This window comes from Homo sapiens, chromosome 1 (genome assembly GCF_000001405.40).
Source record: "Homo sapiens chromosome 1, GRCh38.p14 Primary Assembly".
In the NCBI taxonomy this organism is placed as follows: Eukaryota; Metazoa; Chordata; class Mammalia; order Primates; family Hominidae; genus Homo; species Homo sapiens.
Window position 1 is genome coordinate 117,394,428 of NC_000001.11, and position 12,344 is coordinate 117,406,771.

A 12,344-nucleotide genomic window follows, 5' to 3' on the forward strand; every position below is an offset into this window, starting at 1 on the left:
AAATTGAAGCCGTGATAGTGAGCATCCTTACTTGTTTCCCTCACTTTGAGAGAGAATTACTTTTGTAGTTTATCAAGAATGTGATTTGCTGTAGTTTTTGGAGATATCTTTTATTAGGTTGAAGAAGTTCTCTTTTTCTCCATTCACTTTCTTCTTCTGTTTCTACTGAATGAGTGTAAGAGCAGAAGTGACCAAAAGGCTGGAACACTGTACTTTTGAGGGTACATTGAAGATGATAAAGCCAATGATCAGAGGCCTGTTGGTAAAGCAGGTTTGAGGAAGAGGGAGCTTCAAAGGAAGGATCAATTTTTAACAGTGGTGGATAGAAGAGTGATGTAAAGTGTAGGAAGTGGAAACAGCAAGTGTAGTACTGTTTGAAAAAGTAAAGTGAAGGAAGGAGAACACCAATGAAGGTTGAAGTGGAGGCAGTTTTGAGGGGAGTTTTTATTTATTTTTTAAGGACGGGTGAAACTTCATATTTGTAAGTAAAGGTTAAAGCTCCAGTAGAGAAGGAAAGAGTGAATATAAAGGAAAATTTCTGCCAACCAAAATTCCAGCGTAATTTTATGTATCCCTATGTAAATTAGAATCATCCAGAATGCTTCCAAACATGATTCAAGAGCCACAGCGGCTTAAGCAAGATAGAAGTTAATTTCTGTTCACACGTATGAATTCTGCAGGACAGTTTCAATAAGAGAGGCTGAGAAATAGAGTTTTTATTTAGCAGGATCATGGGTCTAGCCAAAACTTGAGGGCTCTAGGACTAAGGAGGAAGAAAGAAAAGATTTTGGGAGACAGTTTTCAGTATCTGCACAGTAAGTGTGAGAAAACTCTTAAATAAAATTTATCTCTCTCAGTATTTGCATAGTGTTTAAGAAGTCAAAATGCATTTGTTTATATCTAGACTCTACTTACTAGCTCCTTGACCCTGAACAAACTATTTTTCTCTTTGTGCCTTAATTTTTTCATAACAAGGTAGAGAATAATGGTGTTTGATAGAGAGTACCTCATAAGTTGGTATGATAATTAAATAAGATAATATATGTAATTGATGAAGCCATTGCCTTGTACATCTAAGCCACAATTACTAGTTTTGTTGTCATTTGCCCTTGCTCTTCAAGGATCAGGGATGTGTTGAAGGACAAAACACAAAAAAACAAAATAATATAACAAAAACAACAAACAAAACCTTATATTACTTATGGGATATCCAAAAGTTAATTAAATATTACACATTAAGATACAATTGAAAAGAGTAACTTCAAATCTCATGAGAACTTGTAGATATAAAACTAGATTTTTTTGGAAACCTTGGAAGGTACTCAGCCAAACTGCAAAGTTTGAGGACACAGTTCTTCACATGACCACTCTCACATCTGGCACCACTTGCAAATTCAGAGGGCTCCCCAGACCACCCTCTGGCTTGATAATTTGCAAGGACTCACAAAGGGATTACAGATTACAGGGATCCAGATTAAAATCAGCCAAGGGAAGAAACACATAGGGTGAAGTCAGGAAAGTTCCAAATGTTGATCTGCCAGTGTCCTTTTCCCATGGAGTCAGGACATGTTCTTCCAGCACCAATGTGTGACAGTATGCATGATTGCCAACCTGGTAACCTCATCCAAGCTTCAGTGTATAGAGTTTTATGGGGCTTCATTATGTAGGCATCATTGATTGATTACTCAATTACCTGTATGGTTGAACTCAGTCTCCCAATGGACTGATACTGTGTAACCCAGAGCCTTGTCCTAAGCCATATTGTTGGTGTTTATGACATGGCCAGCTTTTGCTTTAAAACTATTAGTTGTGGCCAACCCTACCTGAAGATCTGGTATGGCCAGCACCCATAATAAACAAGCACACTTCTATCAACTATGACACATTACCTCCCAGAAGCTGAAGTCAATGGTGAGACTTCTCTTTGGACAAGGCCAAATTCTTTACTACACAGGAAGATACAAGACACTGATGAAAAGGAATGATCTTTACAAATGAAAGTCTAACATAATTATCTGTTGAAAATACCAAAGTTAAAAACAATCTTAAAAATATGTATATAAGAGAAAGATCATCCAAGTGAAAATAAAACCCCCAGCTGGAGTAATTTAAAAATCTAGAAATTTGGCTGCCAAAGCAAAATTTGAGGAACCATTTGCATGGAGATCAAAATGAAAATAAAATTTTGAGTCATATAGAGAAGAAAACTAGCAAGAAAGTTCATAGTGCTACTAAATAATTATTGTGAAAACTCAAGGAAAAGAAATAAAGCACATTATTTGCTTTGGCAGTTGTAAAGATTGCTGCATTAACTTGTAATTTGGAACAGAGAGGTTAGAAGGATTGAAATTATTGACTTACATGTGTATAGAACATTACTTTTTACTTGATTCCAAGGTAAGTACAAGGAAGTACTTAGCAAAAAAGGGTTATAGTGCTTTTAAAGTGGTATAGTCAGGGTAGTGTATGTTTTCCTATCTCTGTTAATGAAGGTACTAATCATAGAGGTTTTTTTTTTTTTTAGTGATTGTTCCAGGTTGTAGTGTGAGGCATGGGCAGAGATGGAACTAAAATCTTTGTCTCCTGACTTTTGGGTTAAGTATACTTTTTTTCTAACTGCAAAATGATTCCTCTTGGAACCCAGTTAATAGGAGGTCTGACTGAATTTCCTGGAACTCTGGAGTTTCTCTTAGGACCAGTCTGGTTAGTCTTTTCTTGCCCTCTAGTTGATATTGGTTCTTCTGAAATAGTTTACTCACTAAACTCTTAAGCAAATAGTGCTTGTTGAGGAACAAATAAAAATAAATCTATAGATTATTTAGATTTTCAAAATGTGTTTGAATAAGGCTCTTCACAATATTGCAACAACATAGGTTCTGATGAGCAAAGTTTGACTGCTGTAACAATAACAAGTGGGATAAGATGATTGGAGCTTTCCTTTAGAGCAAACATTTAGAGGGCTCAATTTTTTATTTTTAAAAATAATTATAAAAATTATTATACATGTTGCTATCAAATGTACTTTGCACCTGTGGAGGAACAACTGATGCTAACACGAAGTTAATAGCAATAGTAAGTGAAAATGGAAAACTGTTACATGGCAGTGTTATTAAGGGGTCTCACCATAACACCTTGTCATTAATTTTAATATGGATTTTAATATTTAATATGCATTTGTATTGCCTACCCTGTAGTCAGAGCCGCTGTTTATAACCCCCTTTTTTTTTTTTTTTTTTTTTGGAGACGTAGTTTCGCTTTTGTTGGCCCAGGCTGGAGTGCAATGTCACGATCTCAGCTTAGTGAAACCTCCGCCTCCCAGGTTCAAGCAATTCTCCTGCCTCAGCCTCCTGAGTAGCTGGGATTACAGGCACCTACCACCATGCCCAGCTAATTTTTGTATGTTTAGTAGAGACGGGGTTTCACCATGTTGGCCAGGCTGGTCTCGAACTCCTGACCTCACGTGATCCACCCGCCTTAGCCTCCCAAAGTGCTGGGATTACAGGTGTGAGCCACCACACCCGGCCTTACAACTCTTTTGACTGTTTGTAGCCTCATGATGGTATATAGACTTTGTATATCATATTTACTTCAGATGGGGTCTTAGAATCTGTATTTGCATTTTAGTATTTTTAAACACCTATTATATGCCAGGTAGTGTCCTAGGCATTGAGGGATATGTTGGAACAAAAATCAGATAGGGTCTCTGAACTTAATGGAGTTAATAGTCATCAGGAGAGACAGGCATTACTCAAAGAATCACATGTGGTTAAGTACTATGAAGGAAAGATACATGGTGCCATCAGACTGTATATTAGGGAGATTTGTCTAATCTAGGAGAAGTTATGATTGATCAGTGACTTGAAGGTAAAGAAGAAATTGTAAGAGTGTTTTAAGCGAGGAAACCTCATGCATATGGGGCTATTGATGGGAAAGAAAATGGTGTGTAAAAGAACTGAAAGAAGGTGGCTGGGCACGGTGGCTCATGCCTGTAATCCCAGCACTTTGGGAGCCTGAGGTGGGTGGATTGCCTGAGCTCAGGAGTTCATGACCAGCCTGGGCAACATGGTGAAACCCCGTTTCTACTAAAATACAAAAAATTAGCCAGGCGTGGTGGCGTGTGCCTGTAGTCCCAGCTTGTTGGGAGGCTGAAGCAGGAGACTCTGTTGAATCTGGGAGGCAGAGGTTGCAGTGAGCCGAGATCGTGCCACTGCACTACAGCCTGGGTGACAGAGGGAGACTCTATTTCAAAAAAAAAAAAAAGAACTGAAAGAAGGTGTGTGGCTGTAGAACAGAGAGCTAGAGGAGTATGTATGAGATGAAGCTTGAGAGATAGATAGAAGCTACATTATACAGAATTTCTTAATAGGCCATAATATAATAGAATTCCTTAGGATAAGGGAAGCCATGAAGTGTTTTAAGTGAGAGTGAGGCATAGTCTGAATAATTTCAGAAAGCACATTGGGTCTATAGTATGGATGGAGAATAGCTTGTGGGTGGGTTGGAGAGTGGTTGGAGAGTGAATGTGTGAAGACTATTGGAAGCGTATTACAGTAGTTTAGGTGAGGCATGATGGTAGCCTCCTTATTGTGGTTCCATCGCATGCTAAAAAGAGTATGCAGAAAAGGAGGACTATGACTAAGTAAGTTCAAGAAGTGTTGTGTTAGGCAACTCTATTGCAGAACTTCTCAGGGCTTTTAAAATGCCCATGTGCGTGGTGAAGCTCTGTGAGGGGATATGGGATGTTTTGTGGCATATATGTCTTGCCCCCCACAGGGTGGACTCTAGAAAATGGTGTGTAATACCTGTTCGTGGAAGCTCACTGGTAGGTGAAGATGCTTTCTGAGTGATAACATATGAGCTATTGCAAACATGGTCGGGGATTCCACATGCCATTTAGCAATAACTTGGGGATAATGTGGTACGTGGAGATAGAAATGGAAAGCTTGTTTTCCTGGGGCAATCTCCCCATTTGTCATCAGGACAGAAAATTACCCTTGAAAGAGCCAGTCTTCCCCATTTGATGTTGCTCTTCTTTGGGGCCCATTTCCAGGTCCTCTGTTTTTCTGAATCTGTGTGCCTGCTTGCACAGTGAGTGGGTGAGTTGGGGAAATTCTCAGCTGGAAATGTCAGAATACCCATTGATAGTTACTCCATAGAATCTGAAATCTGGGGACAATTGAGGGCCGTGGTGGTAACTCATGATAGCAAGCACTTTCCCTCTTTCTCTTCTGTCCTGAACCATGTTGGCCACTTGACCTCAGGCTTATAGTCTCTTGATTGCAAGATGGCTCTCTTAGCTTTAGGCTTCACAAATACATTTGAAGACAGGAATAGGTGGTTGGGTGGGTTTAGACTTAGCAGGTAAATGTCCTTTTCTCAACTGGCTCTGTCCATTTGTTAATCCGTAAAGGAAAATTCCTGGTAGTTCCCTTTTTTCTCTCTGGTTGAAATAGGGTTTTATGGCTACCCTTAGCTGCAAGGACAGCTGGGAAAGACTTGATTAACATAGATGGATTATGATCTGTTCTCTGGGGTTAGTAGTACCGTGTTTTTCTGTTGGTAAAATGTGGGGCTGGGATTGGAAGACTCTTGGGTGTTTCTGCCTTGGATATCTTATATAAGACTTCAGTCAGCACCTATGTGCTGATGATGCCCTTGTCTGCCTGAGTCGCCTGAACAGATCAGCCCTCATGTCAGTTTCTCATGGTTTCATTCAGGGACCAACCTTAGTTCCCTGCCCTGTTCCTCCCACATCAATCCAGTCTGTCTGTAGGGCCCGTGGATTCTTCCTCCCTGCTGAATGACCTTTTGTGTTACTGACCGTCTAGCCTACTTCACCTCCCTCTCCCTTTCTCTCTCTTGTTTCTCTTATCAGCACCTTTTCAGTGCTAATAACTCTTTTTTTTTCTCCAGTGTTTAACATTTTATTGTTAATACTAGATAATATTAGATTGTGAATTTTTCTTTTGGCATACAGGTTTATGATTTAACACGTGCTATTCATGTAACTACCATCATAATTATATATGTAACAATTCTATCATTAAAAAAAAAACTCCCTTGTGTTATTCCTTTATAGTTAGCCCATCCCTCATCCATAACTCCTGGCTACCACTAATCTATTCACCATCCCTCTTTTTTGTCTTTTTTGAGAATGTCATATAAATGGAATCATATAGTATATAACCTTTTGAAATTGGCTTCTTTCACTCGGATAAGAATGCCTTTGAGATCCATTCAAGAAGTGTGTATAAACAATTCACTCCTTTTTATTGCTAAGTAGTAGTCTGTAGTGTGGATATACCACAGTTTTGTTTAACTGTTTATTTTTGGAGGATATCTTGATTGTTTTCAGTTTTTGCCTATTATGGGCTATAAACATTTGTGTATAGTCCTTTGTCCTCCATTTTTTTTCATTATGGCAAAATACAATTAACATAAAATTTACCATCTTAACCATTTTAATGTGTACAATTCAGTAGCATTAAATACATTCATATTGTTGTACAACCATCACCATCATCCATTTCCAGAACTCTTTTCATCTTGCAAACCTGAAACTCTGTCTGTACCCATTAAACAATAACTTCTCATTATCCCATCTCTAGTTCCTGGCTACCACCATTCTACTTTTTGTCTCTAGGGTTTTGCCTTCTTTAAGTACCTTCTACAAGTGGAATCATACAGTATTTGTCTTTTTGTGACCAGCTTGTATAAAGGTTTTTTTTTTTTTTTCAGTGATCATAAGTCTTTATTTCTCTGAGATAAATGCCGAGAAGTGCATTTGCAGGATTCTATGATAGTTACATCTTTAGTGTTTTAAAAAAACACAAACTTTTCCAAAGTGGAAAAATTTACACCATTTTACATTCTCACTAGCAATGTTATAAGTTCAGCCATCTGCAGAGCTTGAATTAAATTTCTGGAGAGATGACCTATTGACTCTTGGGTTAGGTGTTTACCCTTAGAGTAGTCATCGTTGGTTGACTGATTTGGAAAAGAGTGTTTTACAGTAAGTACCACTCTTGTATTCATTCCTGTGGATTGGGGTGGATATAGAGGGAATATTGAACTCTCTTTCACAAAAGTAGGGCTGGGTGGAAAACGGTGTAGGTGTCCATTGCAGTAGTGGTTTCCAAATCTGTGTGTACACCAGAATCATCTGAGGAGCTCTTCATGATACAGATTCATGGGTTTCATATAGACCTACTAAATTGGAATCTGTTTTTAACAAGAGTTCAAGAGAGTTTTAAGTAGTCATGCCCACATCTGTTGGGAATGTTACATTATAGTATCTATGCACTTTTGAAAACTTAAAGGTTTTAGAAGCATATGCTGTACTATATAAATGAAAAACTTCCTGTTCTCTTATCTTTTCCTCTTATTTTTTTCTTTGGCCTTATGTTTATATTTTTGTCTCTTCTCTGTTACTTATTCTATTTTTGTTTTCTCTCCTCCATTTAGTTTTCACTGGTGTCTGTTTTTTGCAAGTGTCTATGGATAAGTTACTGTTATCTTTGCTCTTAGTCTGGAAATTGTATAAAGAGATTATAAACAGAGTTTGATCTTAGGCATCCAGGGTTCCTTTTCTTTCTCATTCCAGATCTGAATGTGTCTCACTGATAATTCTTTCCTTTTAATGGCAAAAGTAGAAAACAAGTTCCTGGGTTTAATGGAGAAACCTTTATGTTTTATATTTAAAGGTTGACATTCTTAAGTAGGCTCACTGTTACGTTTTATTTCCTTCTTTTCTCACAGGGAAGAGGAAGAACGTCTGAGAAATAAAATTCGAGCTGATCATGAGAAGGCCTTGGAAGAAGCAAAAGAAAAATTAAGAAAGTCAAGAGAGGAAATTCGAGCAGAAATTCAGACAGAGAAAAATAAGGTAGTCCAAGAAATGAAGATAAAAGAGAACAAGCCACTGCCACCAGTCCCTATTCCCAACCTTGTAGGAATACGTGGTGGAGACCCAGAAGATAATGACATAAGAGAGAAAAGGGAAAAAATTAAAGAGGTAATAAGCTGAGTTTTGTGATATGGAGTGTTTATGGATTTGTATTTGGATACAAACAAATATATATAATCTATGGTATCCTGTTTTGATCTGTTTATTCTTGGGTCATAGTTGTAGTATAGTTTCCAGGTTGGTAATAAGGACTAGAACTCTTTCTTGTTTTTTTTTTTAATGTTAATTATAATGTAATTATTGGACACTTAAAATATTTTTGATACAACTTTTGGATGGTTAGTGCCACTCATTCTTTGTTCAGAGATCTTTTGAAATTCAGCGTTTTATTAATAATATATCTGTATATAACTTATTGTCTAAGCAGTTTCTTAAATGTTCAGTTACAAAGGGACTCTGCTAGATACTATGCAGATCACCTCATAAACATGCTTCTAAAGAGCTAGCATTATATCTCCAATTTTTTAAGGAACATGTCATGGTATCCCTCAACTATACTGTAGATTAAGAACACATTCCTTCCAAAAAGTCTCCATGGATTGAAAAATGGGAAAGAATTGATTTCAAAATTCTTTAAATTTATTTAGCCTCAGAAGTCTTTCAATTTGTTATTCTGTAGTTACTTAAAAGTAAAGAGAATACCAGATGGGAAAAATCTAGTGAATATTTGGGTTAAACTTTGTTAATTAGAACTCCTAAAAATTCTGGGTGGAGTTTGTGATTATACTGCCTGTGAAGAAAAATATTTTATCAGAGTGTAATTGTACCAACAATATTTCAGAAGGTTTAATTATTATAAAGTAAGATAAATTTAGTTCAAGTAATCAAATATCTATTTGGATATATTCTAGTAATGGATATGGAAGGTATAGCAGATACTTTAAGCTTAGCCTTATGAATTATTATAAAACCTTGACCTTGATGGAGTAGAAATAGAGCTGTGCTCTGATTTTACCTCACCTCTAGAGTCTGTTTTATATGTAGACTACTTAAGGCACTTCCTTCGGACAGTGTTGGGAGAGACAGTGATAGATTTTTTTTCAGATGCCTGACTTGCTTTTTTTCAGATGTCATTACAATGTACTGAAATACTTTTTTCAAATACGTAATAATTCAGATAGATAACCATGTGTGTTCAGGGGACCCCCAGATGATCCTCAGGTTCAGTGACTCACCAGAAGTACCCACGGAACTCAGCATATAGAAACATGTTTTAGTTTGCTGAACTTTTATCCTGTTATTTTACTGAAGTTATTTATTCTTATAGCTTTTTTGTAGATTGCTTGTGATTTTTCTTATACGTAGTCATGTCTTCTGTGAAGAGATACTTTTACTTTTTCCTTCTTGATTTTTATACCTTTTATATTTTTTTTCTTGTCGTACTGCAGTGGCTAGGAGTTCTAATACATTGTTCAAAGTAAGTGGCGAGAATGGACATACTAGGTTTGTTCCCAACTTTAGGGGTTAAGCATCCAGTCTTTTGCCATTAACTATGTTGTGTCAACTGTAGGTTTTTTAAAGATGCTGTTTATTAGGTTGAGGATGTCTCCTTGTAATTGTAGTTTACTGAGAGTTTTATCATGAATGAGTGTTGAATTTTGTCAGATGCATTGTCTTCATTTTTCTCTAGATGACTGTATGATTTTTTTTCCTTTATTCTGTTAACATGGTAAATTACATTGTTTTTTGGATGTTAAATTAGTCTTATATTCCTGGGTTAAACTCCACTTTGTCGTGGTATGGTATCTGTCTTAGATGTTGCTAATTTTTCTTAAGGAATTTTGCATCTGTGTTCTTGAGATACATTGGTCTTGAGTTTTCTTGTAATATCTTTGCTTGATTTTGGTGTCTGATTAATGCTGGCTGCATAAAGCAAGTTGGGAAATGTTTAATGAATAGTATGCTGTTAAATGAATAGATTTTTGGTCTACTATTATATAATTCGTCTGATATATAATTAAATACTCTGCTATTGTATAACTCAGAACTCCTTGGGTTGTAAGACACTCAGCTCAAACTAAGTGATACAAATAGTATTTATTGGTTTAATGGCTCTAAACAAGGGCTTCAAGTTTGGCTGAATCCAAGCCTGTAGATATTATTGTGAGTGTTAAGCATCTGTCTCTCTTTCCTTTTGCTAGTTTCTCCATGCTGGCAGAGAGCCATTATCAGCTCCAGGATTATATATTACATAGACCATCAGATTGCAGAATAAAAAAGCCCTCTATCTCATGGTGTCAATAACAATATGTGTAAAAAGAACTTGATTGTTCCTACCTGAATCACATGTATCCACTCACTTTGTTTAGGGCAGGGGTTGACAGCTGCAACCTGTGGGCCAAATTCTGCTTGCTGTCTGTTTTTTAAAAATAAATTTTAGGCTGGGCATGGTGGCTCACACCTGTAATCCCAGCACTTTGGGAGGCCAAAGTGGGCGGATCATGAGGTCAGGAGATCAAGACCATTCTGGCTGACACGGTGAAACCCTGTCTCTACTAAAAATAACAAAAAATTAGCCAGGTGTGGTGGTGGGCACCTCTAGTCCCAGGAGGCTGAGGCAGGAGAATGGTGTGAACCCGGGAGGTGGAGCTTGCAGTGAGCTGAGCTGGTGTCACTGCATTCCAGCCTGGGTGACAGAGCGAGACTCCATCTCAAACAAAAAAAATAAATAAAATAAATTTTAATTTGAACACAACCATGTCCATTTACTTAGATATTATCTGGGACTGCTTTTATGCTGTAACAGCAGAGTTAGTTTGTTGATCTCTGGTCTAAGGATAGGGGATTTTCTAGCTAGGGTGAGTTAATTGGTGGTAGAAGCAGAGCCTCTTGATTGACAGCTCTGTTATATGTGAGGAAAGGAGAGCTGTCCCCAAAAAGACTTAACATTTCTCAAAAGGAAAGAATGCCAAACAAATATGTACCTCCTGAAGAAAGAAGACTTTTCTATTATGCCCATTTTTTTCCTGTCATATAGATGAGATTAAACATAGTTATGTATGTTTTCATACTGATACAAATGCTAATTGAATAATGTACTAATATAGATCTGGAAGAATGGGCAAGGATATAGTAATAGAACCCAAAATTGTATGAAATAAAAAAACAGTTTGTGAAAAATTTAAATTGATGGATTATAATTTTTCTCTTTTCAGATGATGAAACATGCTTGGGATAACTATAGGACATATGGGTGGGGACATAATGAACTCAGACCTATTGCAAGGAAAGGACACTCCCCTAACATATTTGGTAAGTTTACTTTTTCTAATTACTATTTCCATTTTCTACCTCCATCTTTTAAAACAAGATGTAACTTTTCAAAGTACTTTCTAAAATCTGAGTATTTCTGTGGAACTATAATTTGAAGAAACAGGTATGATTTTTTGCAAGTGTCAGTCACGATTAAGTTCCAGTTGCTTTGGAGTACACATATATGTGGTAGATTTTCTATTTACATATGGATGCTTTAGTCATTTATCTGAGTATTTAAAAGCTTTTTTTTGGCATTTTTTTCTTTAGTGTCAGGAAAAGTAGGCACCTACTTGTCATTTTTTTCTTCAACACAATACCTATTCTGATATTCACATTACAGAGGAAGAGGGGAGGGATAGGAAATTCTTGTAGTTCTGTGTACATTTTTTAAAAAAGTGACATACCTGGGATGATTGGGTTACTGAATTCAGTGGGTTATGTTGTACATTCACAGTTCCTAAGGAAAAATTAACAATGTGTTCTGTGAATGGAGGTTTGGGGAAGAGCTGTGTTCATCTTGAGTTTGTTCATCCTACTTTCCCTGAGCTCAGTTCACTTGTAAAACTTCCCAGTTTAACTTAACCAATTTAACAACTTTTACTAAACCCAAAGGTAAGTCTTCAGAATTGTTAAGCTACTCTTTGTAGTCTTCACTCCTTTCCCCCATTTTAAATGCTTCTTGATGTGACTTGATCATTATCTTTTAAGTAATGATAGATGAAGGCAAGAAAATTTTAATGGGCTAAAAAGTCACAAACTAGTTATATGCAATCTGATTTTATTACCTGTAGTAAACCATCACAGTAATTCAAATAACAGCAATTTTCTTTTTGACACTAGGGAAGGATTTTTCTAATGCTGTGAGTTTTCTTATAATTTGTTCATTGTTGCTTGCTTTTGATCAAAAAAGAAAATGTCTTAAAAAATAATTTCTGTTGGGTTTGGGAGATGTTGTGGTAGAGGAGTAAAGGAAAAAAGTTTCCTCTAGGTAATCAGTGACTACTAGAGACTTCATAATATGATATTTAATTTATCAGCCATTATGTAATGAAATAAAGTATATTTTCTTAACAGAGTTTTGGACTGGAAAGTTCTTACTGCTTTGTGGATGTCACAATATGAG

General features: G+C 36.6%; 1 protein-coding gene across 4 annotated transcripts in view, besides 1 other annotated feature; it reads left to right on the forward strand.

The window, feature by feature from the left end:
* MAN1A2 (mannosidase alpha class 1A member 2) overlaps positions 1–12,344 on the forward strand; it is a 161,424-nt gene that overhangs the window by 26,979 nt on the left and 122,101 nt on the right. For all 4 annotated transcript variants that reach the window (NM_006699.5, XM_006710302.4, XM_011540536.4 and 1 more), the window contains exons 2-3: positions 7,759–8,014; positions 11,122–11,218. In NM_006699.5, the coding sequence (NP_006690.1) occupies positions 7,759–8,014; positions 11,122–11,218 (353 nt within the window). The remainder of the gene's footprint in view (positions 1–7,758; positions 8,015–11,121; positions 11,219–12,344) is intronic.
* Positions 11,826–12,026: a silencer, noted in NCBI's record as "peak388 fragment used in MPRA reporter construct". NCBI's record gives its function as "represses an SCP1 promoter by STARR-seq MPRAs in K562 erythroleukemia cells {active_cell/tissue: K562}" and the evidence as "EXISTENCE:reporter gene assay evidence [ECO:0000049][PMID:32103011]".